Genomic DNA, 20,117 nt, shown 5'->3' with positions numbered 1-20,117 from the left:
ATTAGTATTATAGAAGGTGAACTGTGTAATAGGCTGGATTTGTAATAGGTTGTGATAGAAGTTGAACTGTGTAATAGGTTGGATCTGGCACTATTAATATTATAGAAGTTGTAATGTGTAATAGGTTGGAAAGGGAAATGAATTTCCTTTTGCATTTGTTTTATAAGTTTAAAATATGTCAAAGTTTACCTTATGCTATAAAATTCTGTATACACATCCAACAGAAGGAAAAAAATGTTATTCTTCTAGATTTTACCTTCAGGGTTTTTTAATATAAATAAAACATATAATTAGGGTTAAAGTGCAAATTCTTGTTTCCCGCTTCAGCACTATTTATTCCCTTTTCTTTCCTCTTACAATCAACCTTTCCTGTTTTTTGAGCTCCACGTATATGTTTTTAATCTTTTTTCCTCTTAAATTTGTATCTGTGAACAATGTATAGTACTACTCTGTGTTTTTTACATTTTGACATCAAAGCTATCATACTGTACAAATCTTTCTGAAACTGTTTTTTTCCTTCTACTATTTTAAGATATATCTATGTTGATACATATAAATCTAGTTATATTCATACAGTATTGTCTTGCTACACAAAATGTGGTCTATGGCTTAGCAACAGCATCATGTCTAGGAACCTTCTTAAAAAGGTAGAATCTTCTTCAAAGTTTCTTTGGTCATTCAAGATCTTCTAGAATTCTAGGATCAGCTTGTCAGTTTCTTCAAAAACCAGCTGGAATTTTCATTGGGACTGCATTAAATCTATAGATCAACTTGATAGATGAACAACATTGAGTGTTTTGATCCACGAACACAGTATCTCTCCATTTATTTAGGTCTTCTTTAATTTCTCTTGACAATCCTTTTTAGTTTTAGTATAAAAGTCCTGCATATATTTTGTCAAATGTACCCCCATATATTTTATATCTTTGATGCTATTGTAAATAGTACTGTCTTTAAATTTATGTCTACTGCTAGTATAAAGAAATACAACTGATTTTTAAATTATCTACCTCATATCATGCCGCTTTAGTTTTTGTTTTTGTTGTTGTTGTTATTGGAGATTTGGTAGAATTTTCTCCATACACAATCATGTTGTCTGCAAGTAAAGACAAGTTTTACCTCTTCCTTTCCAGGCTTTATGCTCACTTTCTTCTTCCTCCTCCGCTTTCCTCTTCCTCTTCCTCCACATCCTCCTTCTTCTCCTTCTTCTTCTTTGTTGGCTTAGCAGTTACAACCTTTTCTGTTTTATATTAGTGGTTGCTTTAAGGGTTACAGAATATATCTTTCATTAATCACAGTCTACCTTCAAGTGATATTATTCTACTTCACATGTAGTACAAGAACCTTATACCAGTATACTTTCATTTCTCCCCTCTGGGCCTTTGTCTATTGTTCTCATACATTTTGCTTCTACATATGTTATAAACCTCACAACACATTGTTACTATTTTGGTTTTAGATGGCCACTTATTTTGAATTGACTAAAAATAAGAAAAATATTTGCTATATTTACAGGTGTGCCTCATACTTTTATATGTAGATTCTGATTTCCATCTGATACTTGGTGGACTAATTTCCTCCTCCTGAAGACTTTCTTTAATGTCATAGAAATGCAGGTTTGCTGGTGATGGATTCTTTTAGCTTTTGTATGTTCAAAAGTCTTTGTTTTTGGTAAGTATTTCTGAACTACCCCTAGTTTAGAATTCCAGAATTTTTTGTTAACTTTTAATACTCCAAAGATGTTGTTCCACTGTTTCCTGGCTTGCACTGTTTCTAGTGACTAAATGCAAATTTTAACCTGTGTTTTCCTAAAAATAATGTATCTTTTTTCCCTGGCCACTTTTAAGATTTTCTCCTCATCACCAGTTTTAAGCAATTTGATTATGTCCTCAGTGTCATTTTCCTCATTTGTGTGTGTGTGTGTGTGTGTGTGTGTGTGTGTGGTTTATTGAGCTTCTTGAAATGGTACAATTATAATTTGCAAGAAATAGAAAACATTTTGGTCATTAAGTTTCATATAATATATATTATATATATTAAATATTATATATAATATATATAAAATATTTTATAAATATATATTTATATATATAAATTTTATATATAAATATATATATAAATATATAAATACATATATATAATAATATATATATATTACTCACTTCTCCTTTTCTCACCTTCTTGGACTCTAAAACGTATATATTAGGCCACCTGAAATTATCCCACAGCTCACTGATGCTCTGCTTTTCTTTTCTTTTTTTAGTCTTTTCTCTCTCTGTTTAATTTTGGTTTCAATTGCTGTGTCTTTAAGTTTACTACATTTTCTTTGTTGGTGTCTAACAACAAAGAACAGAGAGACCAATGAACGAAAGCATGGAGAATAAAGTGCAGAAAACTAAGTTAGTTAGTGTTCCTGAATCTTAAAGTCCAGGGGGAAAAATGAAGAGTGTTAAAGCTGACAAGGTGTGGCCAGTGCCAGATAAAATAAGACCTCAAATAACTTAAGCATGTTAGACTTTGACCTATAGGTCACTGATTCTCAAACTTCACTGTAGATAGGAATTACTTGAGGAGCTTGTTAAAATGTTGACTTGTTGACTTGTTAAAATGCTTGCTCAGACAAGCCCTGTTTGAATTTGCAATCCACAAAACTGTGAGATATAATAAAATGATGATTTTTTTTAAGCCACTGAGTTGTTGCACAAAGTTTTGTTGGGTAGCAACAGACAACCAACACAGAATCAGGCCTCATATGCACTAGCTACATATTAAAATCACTTAGGAAGCTTTTTAAAAATATTGATTCCCAAATTCTAACCTTAGGGACTTGATTCAATTGGTCTGAAGTGAGGCTTAGGTATTGATAGTTTTAAGCTCCCAAGATAATGCCTTATAATAGACTCTATATAGATTTTGATGTGCAGCAGAGTTTAAGGCCATTGCAACAGGTGTTGAAGAACCATGGAACAGGTTTGAGCAGGTAGCTGATGTAATCAAGCTTGTGTATAATACCATCATTGTCAACTACACAGAAGACAGAGCTGAGTTGAAGACTGGATCTAGGAAAATCAACTAGGAAGCTGCTGCAGAAATCTAGGTGGGAAACGACAGGGGCTTGAACTAGGACAGTGGTAGCAGGGCTGGAGAGGACAAGATGAATGAGAAAGATTTAGATGACAAAACAGGTAGTTCTTGGATAGCGAATATGAGAGATGAGGCAAAGGAATGAGCTCTACATATAGTTGAGGAATGCAGCCTGGGTGCCTGGGTCGATGATGGTGACATTCATAGTAACTGGAATCGCAATAAGAAGAGAAACAAGTACAGCCTTAGTGATAGGTTGACTTCACATTACCTGGAATATCTAACTGGAGCTGTCTGGCAGAGAGTTGGATATATTAATTTGAAGTTCAGGGGAGAGGTGTTAGCTACAGATATTGAGTTAAATACTAGCTGAGGGCGAGAGAATGGAGGTGATCTCCCAAGTACGAATCTCCAAGTATGAATCATCCGTTAGCCTGTTGGGCAAGAAAAGCCATGGCTGAGGATAGAACCTCGGGGACACCAAGGTTTGTGTGGGTCAGGTGAAAACCTTGAAGGAGGCCAAGAATAAATAACCAGTCAAATCACCTGGCTATATTGGGAGTCAGTGAGGGATACTTAGGCTGTAGATCTCAACCCCATTTCCACCCCTCTTTTATGGTGTCGTACTATTCTGCAGAGGTGAAAAGTCATCAAATGATACTTGCTTGGTTGGAAGGCAGATGGGAGGCAGAGGCTATCCTCTGTCAGCTGTTTCTGCTGGCAAGTAAAATCACGTATTCATGAGTGAAGAGACAATTGCAGGGCCAGATTCAGATGGCCAGATGATGGCTTTTTGGCTTCCATGTCCCTTTATACCCATGCCTATATTTCTTATGGCCTTATGGACTGCAGCTCTGGATTCATACCTTTAAAGTTAAATAAAATTGTATTTGCTTATTGTCAGCATTTCTTAACATGTTAAAATCTCTAAGCTGCTTCAAAAATCTCGATGCAAAGTTCCCATGCTCAGATATCCTGATTTAACACAGCGAAGGAGTGGTCCAGGCATTATTATGTTTTTAAAAACATTCCAGGTAACTGTAATACATGCCTAGAGTTAACTATTGACTTTTCAGTGGGCTGGGAAAGGCAGACCCACCCTTAATCTGGGTGGCCACAATCTAATCAACTGCCAGCATGGCTAGAATATAAGCAGGCAGAAAAATGTGAAAAGAGAGACTGGCCTAGCCTCACAGACTACATCGTTCTCACATGCTGGCTGCTTCCTGACCTTGAACATCATACTCCAAGTTCTTCAGTTTTAGGACTTGGACTGGCTCTCCTTGCTCCTCAGTTTGCAGATGGCCTATTGCAGGACCTTGAGATCATGTAAGTTAATACTTAATAAACTCCCCTTTATATATACCTAGTAGCTCTGACCCTCTAAAGAACCCTAATACAGGTGTAGTCTTGATTATTTTGGTACAAACCTTGCATGCCCATTGTGTCTTCATGGTATGGATCAAGAAGTTGGGTGGTTGTCTGATTTTCAGAGAAGAAACTGAGGGTGTTATTTACCTTGATTTATACTCTAAGAAAAACTTAGGTTGACTTAGGCTTCTTGAATTCAAAAGCTACATTATTAATGTTTACATACCTATAAGCACCTTCCTTGCCCTAAGTAGGTGAGCTGTAAGTAACTGTAGAATAAATATTAGTGACTCAAGTAGTCTGTAGAAGATTGGCTTCTAAATCTATTAAGTTTCCAGAAAGCATTTTTGTAAGTATTCATTTATTTTTTAGATATTCATTAACAAGCTGGATTTGGGTTTGATCTGGAGTTAGGGTGTTAATATAGCATGTGAATGTAGATGAACTAGGAGTAGAACCTGTTTTTCATGCCAACGCATCTAATCAGGCTAACGTCCTTCAAGTCAGTTTTCCGATTAAACATCCCAATTATCAGTTAATTGCTAGAGAATAGATGGAACTGACTCATTTATCTTCAAATTCCAAGCTGGAAGCCTCAAATGAACAAGAATAATTCTAGCTCCACAGTTAGCTAAAAGCCAGGCTAAACCTGGCCAGTGTCACTGTAAAATATGTCCTCAGGCTTCACAACCCTAGCATATAGTACCAAAGAGATTTAACCTCAATATGGTGTTTTGAAGAGCGCTGTCACAGCAGAGAGCTAAAATCCAATAGCACAAACCACATGGATCCACATTATTCAAGATAAATACTTCACATGACTCCTTAATTAGTCATTAACGATAATTAACCTTGTGGGAAAAATGACTCATCTGATTGGTAAAAATACACTTGGTTTCACTTGGGTCTACTGTCTTCTTTCTAAGGTTACAGAGGAATTGTCTTTCCTTCTACTCAGGTTTACTCACCTGGAAAGCAGGAAGGCAGCTTTGGATGACCCTTCTGTCAAGTTTTGAAAGACTTGGAGTACAAATCTGATACTGTATAAAAAAATCTGATCTCTCTTAAATAAGCCTGCTCTTCTCCCTGGGGAGACAGAATGGACACCAGTTCAGCTACCTTAAACATTACATTGGTTGATCAGTGATAAATAATGCAAGATTTCTTACTTTACAGGCTTCCCCAGAAAAATCAATCTAGGGATTCAATTTATTATTCACCTAAATGCATGGATCAATTAATACACATTTTTTACTTCTGGATTTTAATCAGATTTGAAACAAGTGTGCTATATTATGATACCATGAAGAAGCAAGATATGTACAAGTTCCAATACTGAGGCAAAATCCTTCTAATTTCTCATTTTCAGTACAGATATGATATAATCCTTCTAATTTCTCATTTTCAGTACATAGGAAGAAAATCCTATGAGTTTCATTGTCCACATAATTGCCAGATTGATTCCCCTTTCTTGCCCAGGGAGAATCAAGATAAATGCAATAGGCAAGAGGTGAATGAGCTATTCTTTTGACCCTAGGGGAGAAAGTCACAGGGGTTGGGAACCTATTGTATTAAAGTGGTATAAGCCTTGTTAAGAGGTTGTTCATGGATATTCAATTTAAAACAGATCTAGGTGACTCTTTTCTCCCATTATGGCTACTTCTCATATAGTAGTTCCAATTTCCACAGAAGAACCCTAGGCAATTAGTCCACAGGTAACTTGTTCAGCCCTGAAATTAGGATCCACTACAGATGGTGATGGCCCCTGTCTTACAATAGTTCAACTTAAAATTTTTTGATTTTACCATTGTGCAAAAAAGATACGTCTTCAGTAGAAACCATACTTCAAGTACCCATACAACCTTTCTGTTTTTCACTTTCAGTACAGTATTCAATGAGTTACATGAGATATTCAGCACTTTACTATAACATAGGCTTTGTGTGAGAGGATTTGCCCAACCATAGGCTAATGTAAGTGTCCTGAGAATGTTTACGGTAGGCTAGGCTGAGCTATGGTGTTCAGTAGGTTAGGTGTATTAAATGCATTTTCAACTTACAATATTTTCAACTTATGGGTTTATGGGGATGTAACCCCATTGTTAAGTCAACGAGCATCTGCAATAGAACCTATAGCACTTGGTTGAGATATAGCAAACCAAAAGGTTAAAGTCAAGTTGTATGAATTGTTCCTCCTTCATGTGGTGTAGTGGATGCTGTGGTACAGCACCCAAATCCTGCTTTTAGAATCTAGACCCTCATTCCCTCAGCTTCCTGCGGTGTTGGCTGCTGAAGGGTCACAGCAAAGTTACCCTTTAAAAATTGCCAAGAGCTGAAGGGAGTTACCTCACCCGATGTTATGTCCTCTCCCTCCCAGGCTGGTCAGTGCATAGGGTGAAGAGGGAACATGAGTGTGGGTGTGGATGTGGGTAGTGGTGGCTATACAAAGGCTCAGACCCTTTCCTCGATTTGCATAATTCTGAAGGGCCACTCAAGCTCCAGAGGTTCCTACGGCATCAAAAGAGGACTCTGTTGCAACTGCATCACCGTTCATCTCCCTCTGCCCAGTCCTGCTTCCTTCATTTCCTGAAGGGTATTGTTTCTCAGCGTACTCCCAATAAACCGCCTGCAAATAGATCTGCATCTCAAGGTAAGCCACATCTCTACCACCCTTTGCAAAGCAAAATATGGGCACAACTCAGTTCCTAGAAGTATCCTAGGTCATTTGCATTTGGTATATTCAGATAAATAATTACAATGTTGAAAAACTTCATTGATTTGGGCCAAGTTAGCGTTTGTCACCCTTTAGACATCATGTAACTGGGTACTTTTAGAATAATATAGTGACTTTTCTTCCTAAATGGACAACTGCACCTGTATTTATTTGGTTTGTAAAACATTGTGCATATATCTAGTATGCAATGTTTAAAGTAGATTAAGTCTCTAATGTGCTGGAGTGTTTTCAACACTCAGGTACTTTAGAAGCACTCTAAAAATTGATACGCTAACTACAGATTATTTTCTTCTGTTTAAAGCCGATCATCAAAGGGCCTTGTTTTGGAAACATGTCATTATTTTAGTTCTGTCAGTGATTTATTCTAAAAATTCTTCCATTTACTCCAAGTTATTGTCATTTTTTTGCTATTATGATTAGGGATGTCTAAATTAACAGCAAAGTGCCGTTAGTCAAATCAGCATATGTTAATAGTTCAGGTATATTAAATATCTACTTTGCCTCAAGTACTTTCTATGTATAAATTCATATAATTCTTACGTGAGATAAGTGCTATTGTAATCATTTTTTCCAAATGAGGAAACCTGCACAAAGTTGCAAACCTAGGAAGGAGCATAGCCAGATTTTTGATTCAAGCAATTTGGCTCCAGAATCTGTGCTTTCAGCCACTTCACTGTCACCTCTTCAATATCTAGGGCTGAGAAAAAAAGAAAAGGGGCTAAAATATTTTATGGAGGTGGGGGGTTGTAGAAAAGAAATATTACTCATATTCAGAGAAATCAGGGAAAGTTTCAGAGAAGTAATAATGTTTGAACCAAGTTCTATAAAATAAATATTACTTAGAAGTTATAGTGAATCTCTTTCTCCTTGAAAAAAGGCCCTATAAGAAAACCTCCCTTTCTGGAAGTTTCAGTAAAGAGAAAGGGGGCACAATGGGCTGAAATAATGAAAGGAAAAACCTAGCTAACTGATTTTCTCTGTCAATAAAAATAAATCATTGTCTGCCTGGCACTGTAGGGAATTTCAGGACTTTTGATGTATGGTCAACGTCTGCAGAAACTTAGAACTAGTGGGGCAGATGAGACACTGAAGTTGAAAAGGTACCAAGCCATCAAGTTCTAGATAGTGAATACCAAATGAGAGTATAGTTGGGTAAGTGGTAAAAGAAAGCTGGCCAGTGTCAGCAGTCCTGACCCCAGCCCCATCCTCAGGGTATATTTCCAAAGACTGGTTGAAAGACAGTCACTAAGGATTCATCAGAAGAGGATGGTTTACTGGGAAGTATTTGCAGTATTAGAAGTGGAAATGATATGAGACCCAGGGCGCAGAAGAGTCTTTGAGACTAGATTAGAGTTGAGCTTTGCGCATTCCAAGGTTTTCAAGACTTAACCCTTATAGCACTTTATGGAGCTTGCCAACCCAAGAGGAAAATGACAGAGTGGTATTCTTAGGGAAGTCTGTGTCCTTGGTGCTAGAGTCCCCAGGCTTTTGAGATTGCTGACTGCTATAAAAGGACCACATGGGCCCAAGCACTTCAGCGGTACCCAGTGAAGACAAAAGGCCAGACTGTGCTGAATTGACCCGCAGGGCCTTTATGTAATGAGTGGGCTGGAGAGCCCCAAGAAGAGCTGAGATTGGTGTTTTCCATCCTGTCCAGTAGAGCTTCTGAGTCTTCAAATTTGATAGAGAAAAATAAAGTGGCCCGGGCGTGGTGGCTCATGCCTGTAATCCCAGCACTTTGGGAGGCTGAGGTGGGCAGATCATGAGGTCAGCAGTTTGAGACCAGCCTGGCCAACATGGTGAAACCTCATCTCTACTAAAAATACAAAAATAAGCCAGGCGTGGTGGCGGACGCCTGTAATCCCAGCTACTCGGGAGGCTGAGGCAGGAGAATTGCTTGAACCTGGGAGGGGGAGGTTGCAGTGAGCTGAGATCATGCCACTGCACTCTAGCCTGGGTGACAGAGTGAAACTCCATCTCAAAAAAAAAAGAAAAAGAAAAAGGAAAAAAAAGGAATTGGTGACTATTTAGAAAAGCCTTGGTGTTTGATTTTGTCTATGTATGCTTAACCAGAAGAAAATATATGAAGACACATAATTTCCTCCTTTTTCTCTGTGTTTCAAAACTTTACTAGCATTCTCTTATTATCTCCTTCTTCCTCTCTCTCGCTCCTCCCTCCGTCTTTCTGACAGCATGGCTGGGCTCTGGTCCATAGTTTCAGGAGAACATGGAAAGCCAGCTCTCTAACTTCCTAGGGCAGATACTTTGAACACTTTAATAACAATGAATTTGCTTCTTTGCCTTACATTTTTCTCCCATTTCTTCCTCTTGCTCTTTGTATGTCATGACAACTGTGCCAATTATTTTTGGCACAGTTCACTTTTTATATCAAAGAGCTACCAGTTTCTGACTTTGCTGAGGAGAAAAACTCTTTTACCTTGATAAATTACACATAGCAAATATTTAGGAAGATGTAGTTAAGATGAATAAATGATTTCTAACAATGAGCAGGTAAGATATAAAATGACTGTGATATTGTGAAGTATATATTTGGTCTTAGACCTCTGTTTCCTGACATACAACTCCTAGAGTCCTTAGAATCTCCAAAGTGATGTGTTTTGTATGCTAATGAGTTGAATCATGATTGGCAACCCCTAGGCAGCTTCAGCATGGGGACTGGTCACCAGAAAGACCATGGCAGGATTAGAGGGTTGGGACCTTCAGCTCTACCTCCCAACCTCTAGGGAGAGGAGAGGGACTGAAGATTCAGGGCAGGGTTAGAAGAGTTTCCAGACAGCTGAACACATGGAGGCTTACAGGCAGGTGAAAGGGTGGTGCACCGCAACTCCACAGGGATAGAAGCTCCTATGCTCGAGACCCTTCCAGACTTCAGCCAATATATCTCTTGACCTGACTATTTGTGTCTTTTAAAGTATCTTTTGCAAAAAACTGATAATAAGTGAATGTTTGCCTGAGTTTTACGAGCCACTCTAGCAAATTATTCAAACCTGAGGAGGGGGTTGTGGGAACTCTGATACATAGCTTGTTGGTCAGAAACACAGGCAACATTGCCTGGGGCTTGTGACAGGCATCAGAGGTGGGAAGGACAGTCTTGGGGACTGAGCCCTCAACCTGTGGGAATCTAACACTATCTCCAGGAGGATAGTGTTGGAATTGAATTAGAGGACTCCCAACTGGTGTCCACTGCAGAATTGAGTGCTTGAGTGTTGGTGGGGGAAACCCCACACACACATTTGGTCAAAGAAGTGTTCTGTGTTGATTGTTGTTGTGGTTGGAAAGCAGAGAAAAAACAGTTTGATTTGTGTTTCCAGGTACAATGTCCTAAGATGTCCAGCCTTGCTCCTGACAGCTGCTAAGTTTAAAATTGCATTCTTCTGAACAGGAGTAGAATCTCCTTGGGAAAGATGGGGTGTTGCTTTAAAAAAAAAAAAGTCCCTTGGAAATGATCTGGAAGTTTCAGAGAATGATTTTCTATAGGCTTCTTGAAACATCATCAACTATCACAGAAGAAATGTCAATTTGACAAGTTTCCTCATTTGGGGGGAGATGTCAGATATCCATAAATGACAAGAGCAGAAACTTCCAACTTGAATCCAATGATAACCGAATGTTGCAATTACGTTTTTAAAATGCTCCTGTAAAAATTCTAATTGGGGGGATAGTACTCCCACACATAAACAAGAAGGATGAGCACCATAGCCCAATTCAAGTCCCCAGAAGAGTCAGGGACCCACACAATCTAGTATTTAAGTCAAATAAACTCGAAGGGGTTTATTCAGGGTACCAGAGTCCCAGCTAACAGATTATTCTCACAAGGGATTGAGACAACAGATATCAAACTACAAACTTTATCACTGTAGATGCTAGCTAGAAAGCCAGCTAAGCATGAGCCTGCCCTGGGACTTCTTACCACTCTCCCTGAATGGAGCCCAAGTCAAGCACTAGAGGAAAGATGGCTGCCCCTGTGCAGGCAGTGAGCAGCCTGGTGTGGACAGTTTGCCACATGGAAGCAGGAGTGGTGAAGAGGAAGCAGAGTCTGAGGGCTGACAGTTTCAAAGAGAGAAACACCGGGACACACACAGTCAGTTACCCATGATGCACCAGTGTGTCCCATGATTCACTCCTCTTCACATGAAGGTAAAGAAGGACAAGGATTCCTCTAGGCAGCAGCCTCCTGAAGAGTGAAGTAAAAGTTCTCTCTCTTCGGAGACTCAAATTCTCCAAATAGAAGTCTACAAAGAGTGTTATGTATGGAGTCTTTCTATATCAATTTGCTAAGGCTTTTGTAACAGTATATCACAAACTGAGTGGCTTAAACAACAGGAACGTATTGTCTCACAGCGCTGGAGGCTGAATGTCTGAAATGAAGGTCTTGGCAGGGTTGGGTTCTTCTAAGGGCCATAAGGAAGGATCTGTCCAGACCTCTCTCCTTGGCTTGAAGATAGCCGTCTTCTCTCTCGTCGATGGTCATCTTCATCTTTTCACATTGTCCTCCCTCTTTGTCTGTGTCCAAATTTCTTTCTTTTTTTTTTTGTAAGGACACCACTCACATTGGATTAGGATCTGTCCTAAGGACCTCATTTTAACTTGATTACCTCTGTAAAGACCCTGTCTCCAAATAAGGTCATGTTAGGTATGGTTTCTTGAATCAAATGTTCCAGGAAAAGCCAGTTGAATAAATGTAGCAGTTTTATCAACTTATCCAGCACATGCCAGACAGCAAAATGTCTCACTGATGTATGTGCGCCCTTGGGGCAGCATGGCTCATGTAGAGTGCCCAACCATGCTCCTCCAATTGCTGCTAATTCTGAACAAGAATGTTGGGAAAGGAATTCTCAGTTTCACGAATGCTTTTGGGTCCCACATCTCAAAGAGAGTCTCTCTCAGGAACATGAATAACGGGCTCGATTGCACATGTTCCCTGTCAGAATTGTTCAGCGATCCAGAGCTCCCGTCTCTAAATATTTACAAAGTACTACTTATCAGAATGAAAGAGAATGTTTCTGTACCACAATGTCAGGCATATGGTAGCAGCATGAAATAGAAGATAAATCGTGTGGGGTGATTCCAACTGGATTTAATGCCAGCAATAATTATTTTTAATCAGATGCAAGGTTCCCTTGATGATACCAGACCATGTAACATCGGGAAATAATTTTGTCAGTTTTCATTGTCTGATGCTGTTTCTATAAATAATCTTGTAGGACCTTTTGAAGTATAGCTTTTTATCTTTTCTTTAACCCTTTTCATTCTCTCTTTCTATGGGAATGGCCTACTCTCTAAATCCTGGCTTTTGATTACAAGATGACTTTATAAAATTACATAAAGCATTTGAGGCATGGCAAATGCTCTCACAAATATACATAATTTCAACAAATTAAATGATACCCTGTGCACATCTTACCTCTCCCAGTCCCCCCAAAATAACTGATAACCTGAGAGCAGTCCCAATGAGGTGATATTTCATTGGTATTTGAAATGTGTTAGTGCCTAAGTCCAGAAGCAGGTTAGATGTGCCTCTGGGGTAATAAGAGCCCCAGTGGGCACCTCTTGGCAAAGGCTGTGTGTGTGTGTGTGTGTGTGTGTGTGTGTGTGTGTGCCACCACACCCACATGCATCTCATGAAAACCAAAAAAGCATTTCCTAGCCAGCTGTGATCTGGAATTTTAAAAAATAGCTGGTAATTTTTAAAATAACTGGCTATTTGAATTCACTTGTAGGTTTAAAGTGTGTGTGTAGGGATACAGCTAAAAATCCCATTTTCAACCAATACAAAGAGGACGTTCTTGTATAGAAGAATTTGATACCAATATGTGATTAAAGCAAAGCCACATCTGTGGTTCAAACCCAGCATTTGGGTCAGGCTGATGAGTCCTTGGCTGTAGAGAGAATTTTGCCCTCTGGGCTTTATGCAATGCTGGAAGGTGACGCCTGAAACACAAATCAGTTCACAAGCTCAGCTGCTCTCCAGCTCCCAGTTTGCTGACTGCCAGAGATGCTCTGTCCTGTGAGCTAAGGAAAGGCTATTCGTCCCTCCTGGAACTAAGTTATTCCAGCTGCTTCCTTTGGTGCAGACTAAAGTGGATCCCACATAGCTGCTGCCACCCCCAGAGCCAGAATCTCATCGGTAGACCTCCAACAGGGAAGCGCTAGCTGCTGGGGAGTCACAGAAATGTCCAAGGTTCACCATCAACCGTAGTTCTATTGGGGTCAATGTGAAGATTTCAGACTTCCAGATGCACCCTTACCTATAACCGATCTTGTTACCTTGCTTTCAGACAAATAATCCATTTTACAATCTGCCTTTGCCGCTTGATCAAAAAAGGCAAGAAAAGCCTTCTTGCTTTCTCATTTATAACTTTACTGATGATCCAGGGGTGTAAAAACCTCTGAGTCACCAAGCAAAGTTAGGGACATTAGTGTAGGCACTGAGAAAGGAAATGATCCTGATGACTGGGTAGCAATTTCTTTCTCATGTCAGGTGGTTTTCAATTCTTAGCTTTTAAACGAAGACTGAATCTAGTTGTCACCTCATATATTGTTAAAAATAATTTTGGATAATAGATCATTATGTGATTTTTTGTTTTACAAATAACTCAGACGGATGAACACAATTGGGAACTCTATTACAGCAAACCTCTTTCTATTCCATCTACTTATTCAGCACTTTGCTTAAATACTTGGAGAAAGTTATTATATGCCAGGGACAGGTTTAAGCCCTTTACAAGCATTAACCCATTTAATACTCACAAGAACCCCATAAGGTAAGTTTTATTATCATCCCTGTTTTACAGATGAAAAAGAAAGCTCAGAAAGGTTAACTGTTTGTCCAAGGTCAGAGAGGTAGGAAATGACAAGAGCTGGGATTTGAACTCAGGCAGACTGATCCCAAAGCTTTTGCGGACACAGGCTGCACTTGGCTAAATATGGTTTCTCAGTTTATATCAATGAAAACAAAATGGGAATAAAATTGTTGTTGAACTCTACCTTATTTTAGCAGTATCTCCATCTACTAACAAATGATTAAGGTGAAAATTTTACATGCCCTATTCATATTAAGAAATAAATCTTCAATAAAATATTACTTTTGTGTTTAAACATTATCAAACTTTCTAACATATTTTTGCTATTTTCATTAATATTTCTAAAACTTATATTGATGACCAATCCAGAAGAAATTTTATCATTTAAAGACTTAGTCACAAGCAATTGAAACATTAAATTCCATACACACACACACACACACACACACACACACATACACACAATTTTTTGTTGCAAAGTATAATGGAGTAAAAAAAGTAAGATTTGTAAGTAAAATTACTACATTAAGATAAATTTCTTCGGGGGAAACTTGAAGAACAAAAAGGAATAATGTAAAATTTCCCATTTTAAAAGCTGAGCTTATATATTTCCCTCATTTTTTGCATTGATCTTTATATATCTTTTGAGATAACAGAATTCTTTTCTTAGATATAACACATTCATTTTTTAAGTGGATAATGTGTATGAAATTACTATAGTAGTTAGATTCCTTTGGATATGTTTTAAAGGGCAATGTAAAGGTTTTATTTTTAATAGTCAATAGTTACACTATGCTGGAAATTACACCCTTCATAACTATTCAGCTAATGATGATTTTTTGGGGGGTGTCAATCTAAAATGTGCAAGGGCTACATCATTTTTCAAAATTATTTTGGAAAATCAGTGTTATGTGAACAAAAATATTCAAAGGCCACTGCTGTCATTATGGGCATCCCTCATCCACTCCTGGTGTATTTTATTTCTCTTACTCCTAACACATCCTAATTTATTCATTCAATTAATATTTGTTAAGCATGAACTACATGTTAGACATGGTATCAACATGACAATGAATAAGACAGCTGCATTCCTGATTTTATGAAATAGTGCGATGCTAAGTCCTGTGAAGTTTTTTCTTATTATTCCTTCTCTTGGGCTTCTGGATCACTTTCTTTTTTAAGTATTATTTTTAGTTGAGGCCTGGTGCCCCTGAGCAAAAAAAAAAAAAAAAAAAAAAATTATTAAAACTATGGAATATTTCAAACATACAGAGAAGCATAAGGAACAGGAAAATGAACACTTGTGTTCTCAGCACCCAGTTTGGACAAATCTTAACATTTTGCTCAACTGCTTCATATTCAACGAAATAAAACAAGAAAATGTTACGTACACAGTTGAAGTCACCTAACTACCTCTCCCTAATTCCATGTGCTCTCCTTTCTTCTCAGAGGTAAACTCTATCCTGTATTGTGTTTCCAATTCCCAAGCAATTTGTATACTTTTACTGCAGATAAACAACATAGAGTTGTATCGTTTTGTGTGTTTTCAAACTATGCAATTATATTATTTTGCACACATCCTATAACTTGTTTTTTGTCCTCGATGTTTTTAGATTGATGTAGTTTATATATGTTACTCTAGTTAAATCCATTAATTTTTTTGCTATATAATATTTCATTGTATGAATACATTTGTTTAACCATTAACAATTTTTTTAACCATTCTTCTTTTATTGGCATTTGGGTTGCATCTAACGTTTTGCATCACAATGTGGCAATGAACATTCTCATACACATCTCTTGTGCAAGTTTTGAGAGTTTCTCTGGCATCTACATCTAGAAATGGAATTCCTAGGTTTTAGAGTTTGTACAGTTTTAACTTTATTAGGTATTGCCAACTTGCTTTTTAAAGTTATACAAGCTTACACTCCAACTGGATAAGAGCATTACTACTTCTATTCTGTTGGTGAATACCCTTGAATTTTCAAAATGTATACCTGGGTTCTCTTTTTTCCCTGCCATAAGGACCTGAACAGGTTTTAGCTACCCATTAACACTTCCTTCCTTGTGTTATTGTTCCCTAGAGTTTTGGTTCTACCTTATTTTAAAAGCACAAAAATTTAATAATTTTGTAAATAAACATATAATTGTTGATGAAATTTGCCATTATCAATTTTTCTATTCTGTTCCCCTGAATTCACTTTGATGTGTATTGAAGTACATTCTCTAATCGTTCTTTTAGAGGATGTACATCCTCTTATTGTTCTATGAGTGATATAGTGTTAGTCCATTTTCACATTACTATAAAGAAACTTCATAAAGGAAAGAGGTTTAATTGACTCACAGTTCTACATGGTTGGGGAGGCCTCTGGAAATTTATAATCATTGCAGAAAATGAAGGGGAAGCAAAGACTCTCTTTACCTGGCGGCAGGAGAGAAAAGAGTGAGGAGCCAAGCGGAAAGAGTCCCTTATAAAACCATCAGATCTCGTGAGAACTCACTCACTACCAGGAGAACAGCATGGAGGAACCACTCCCGTGATCCAGTATCCTCCCACCAGGTCTCTCCCTAGACGAGTGGGGATTATGAGGATTACAAAAATTTGGGTGGGGAGACAGCCAAACCATATCAGATATGTTAGTCTTTCTTTTAAAAAGTCTTAGTTTTATTCCTGAATGACAGTTTATATCGGTATAAATGTGTATGTTGACAGCGCTTTTCTACCCTCAACACTTTGAAATTATGTCTCCATAGTGCCTATTGTTTCTGAAGAGTCTAAAAGTTCCTTCTAAAAAGAAGCCTCTGCCAATCTAACTTTTATTCCTTTGTTTGGTAGCTTTCTCTTTGTCCTTTATATTCTTCTATTTCACTCTAACATGTCTAGGAATAGATTTATTTTTATTTATTCTGTTGGGTATTTGGAGTGTATGTCATCTGAGGAGTCATAAAATATTCTTAGCTATTGTCTTTGGCTTTTTAATTCAATTTTTATCTAAATAAAAATACATGCACAAAATTTTAATAGTAAAATATTTCTGTAAGACAGAATGAAAAACAGCAAATTCCTGCCTCACCTTTCTCCAGTCCTGATTTTTTTTTTTTTGCTCCTTTGAAGCAGCCACTTTCTACTTTTAAATATTTTAGCTGTTTCTTTTAGAGTTTACTTCTATTATTAAAAATAACATTTGTATACTATTATTTTTTTTTTAGTTTTAGATTTATCTATTGACTTTCTAACATGAGGGATAACAATTTATCCCTTTTAATCCTCACCCTCCTCAAACACACATTTTGCAATCTCCATCCTTCCAATATAGTTATGTTATAATTTTAGTTAAACTGAGGGAACATTTGCACTATTATAACTATTATTATTCATAACTGAGCCATGCTGTGATCACATTTTTCTATTGAAAAATTTTATTTCCCCTATACAAATAATTGCCTTGTTCTTTTATTCAGTTAAATTTTTATATACCTGGCATTAATCCAAATTTAAAACATATTTTTATATGATCAGACACATCAGATAATCTGCCAGTTTTATTTATGTCTTATAGATATCTCTCGTGGAGTCCTTCAACCTCCTCTTACAATCTGAAGGGGTTGCTTCCTAGGTTGGTTGCACAGTTGTAATCCAGGAATCTCCCTTAATCATCTCGATTCCTTTTTCTTCTTTTCTAATTGAATTCACTGTTCCCTAGATCTTATGCTTTTGTCCTTTTTCGGATTATGTTTTGATGTTGATGGAGTATATTCTCAAACAGCTTTCTGAGGACGGGTGCACAGAAAGTAAATTTTTTGAGACCTTGCATGCCTGAAAAACAAGATCTTTATTTCATTCTCTAGAATGAATAGACTACAGTAGCCTAGTATAAAATTCTAGACTACTAGCACTTTGGGAAGCTGAGGCAGGTGGATCACTTAAGCCCAGGAGTTTGAGACCAGTCTGGCAATACAGCAAAATCCCATCTCTACATAAAAGAAAAAATTAGTTGGGCATGGTGGTGCTCATGTCCCAGCTACTCAGGAGGCTGAGGTGGGAGGATCACTTGAGCCCAGGAGGTAGAGGCTGTAGTGAGCCGAGATCACACCACTGCACTCCATTATGGGTGACAGAGTGAGACCTATCTCAAAAAAAAAAAAAAAAAAAAAAAAAGAGAGAGACAGAGAAAGAGAATTCTAGACTAAAAAATTTTCTCAGAATTTGCTGTTGGGCAGCTTACATTTCTTATTCTTGATATTTTGTGCTTGAACTTTTATAAATAATATTTAAAACATACTAGATTCTTTTTTTTTTTTTTTGAGATGGAGTTTTGCTCTTGTCACCCAGACTGGAGTGCAGTGGCACGATTTCAGCTCACTGCGACCTCTGCCTCCTGGGTTCAAGAGATTCTCTTGCCTCAGCCTCCCAGTTAGCTGGAATTACAGGCACTCACCACCATGCCTGGCTAATTTTTGTATTTTTCGTAGAGATGGGGTTTCATTATGTTGGTCAGGCTGGTTTTGAGCTCCTGACCTCAGGATACTCTTCTTAATCTCCAGGGACTTGGAATTTCAAAATAACATACATTGGTGTGGGTCTTTTTCTTTTGCGGGAGAATTTGGTGGGCCCTGGTAATCTAGAAACACATTTTCTTCAGTACTTGTAATTGTACTGAATAGAATTAAGTCATTTCATCTGTTCCTGTTTTCCCTGATTCCAGAGTCCCTCACTATAACTTCTTCAACAAACAAAACTCCAGTCTTTTCCCAGAGAGTGAGGAGGGGTGGTGACTTGACTTGGCTGGACCTGGTGAAAAAGGAGATCTGGGTAGTTCACTGCTTCTTCAATAAAGACTTTCAACCAATTTTCCTGTTAGATATATCCAAGTCTCCAATTTCTGAACCATTCTTGTTTTTTGAAGTATAAATCATGTTGGTTACTGTTGACTTCTCCCTTTGTGGATTTGGCTTAAGCTCTCATTCACCAAATCTGCTATAATTTATTCATTTATTTTCAAGCTTAAGTTTTGGATCTGTTTTCATTTCTCCTAGCTATAACTTAATCGATTTATTTGTGATATTTTTACTGTCATGTTAGTAAAATCTTGGTAGGAAGCAGTAATAAATGCTTTCTTAACTAGAAGTTAAAGTTATTGTCTCTTCACATAATTACTCTTTATTATTCTTTCACATCTCTTTTTCTAGCATTTATATTAGATATATGTTGGAGATTTTTCATTTATCCTGTATCTTTTAACAGTTCAGCCATAATTTTAAACTCTTTGTCTCTCTGTGTTATGTCCTGTACAAATTACCTATTCATTTATTGTCTCTTCATTCATTCCAATCTAAAGTAAGCGGCATCTATTAAATTTTTATTTCAATGACTATTTTTCTAATTTTGAAAATTTCTAATTATTTATTTTCTCATTCTTAGTTTATCTTTAGTTTTGTTTTATGGCTTAATATAAAACTTTTATTAAAAGATTCATTTCCTCTAAAATAAATTCATGTTAAAGATTCAAAGTTGTCATCTTTGTTAGCATTAAATTTCTTTGCATGTTTTGCATTTTGAGTTTGCAGGTCAATTTTCAGTGTTTTTCATTCTCTTTCTCCCCCTATGCGCAATTATCCTTGTGCAGTGGTTTTATGGATGTCATTAGTTAGCTTCCAGATCTGGCAACATAACAGAAGTTCAGTTTTCCTGCCTTGATGTGATATTGGTGACATGCAGATTCATCTAGCCAGCCAGTGGCTTAGTTTGTCTCCAGGTTGCGAGATTATATCTGGTTCTTCCTATTTTCCTAGACCTGTATCATGTGAAGAGCCTTGCCCCAGACAACAGTTTGAAGTAGCTTTTTTCAGACTCCTCTTAGGATCAGGGTGGCTCCACTAATTCAAGCAGTGAGCTTCAGAAATCTCACACAGAGCATGTTGAGTCTTCATTACCCTACAAGAGCCAAACTCCTATATACCACTGTCTGAGTTCAAGATCCCATATATACCAGTGGTTTCAGCCCCTTTCATCACTTAGTGATTCTTTCCCAAATCTTAAGTTATGTTTGTTTTATTTTTGATCCTATGTCATTTTGCTTTTCTTTCTCTCTTTACATTACCAGACT

At 37.4% G+C, this 20,117-nt stretch overlaps 1 long non-coding RNA gene across 4 annotated transcripts in view; it reads right to left on the bottom strand.

Moving 5' to 3' along the window:
- Positions 1-2,175: 2,175 nt before the first annotated feature.
- The window catches only part of LOC105370512 (uncharacterized), a 42,851-nt gene continuing 24,909 nt past the window's right edge, over positions 2,176-20,117 (bottom strand). The window contains exons 1-3 of one of the 4 annotated variants that reach the window (XR_001750776.2): positions 16,355-16,546; positions 5,424-5,541; positions 3,379-3,950 (exon numbers count right to left, since the gene is read on the bottom strand). This is a non-coding gene — a long non-coding RNA (uncharacterized LOC105370512). Of the gene's footprint in view, positions 3,951-5,423; positions 5,542-7,726; positions 7,945-16,354; positions 16,547-20,117 lie in introns of those variants that run through there. The other 3 variants (XR_943900.3, XR_007064183.1, XR_943899.3) reach the window with 3 other exon arrangements.

This window comes from Homo sapiens, chromosome 14, assembly GCF_000001405.40.
Source record: "Homo sapiens chromosome 14, GRCh38.p14 Primary Assembly".
NCBI classification, from domain to species: Eukaryota; Metazoa; Chordata; class Mammalia; order Primates; family Hominidae; genus Homo; species Homo sapiens.
Note: the sequence above shows the minus strand (reverse complement) of the source record. Positions and strands in the feature narration are given on the sequence as shown.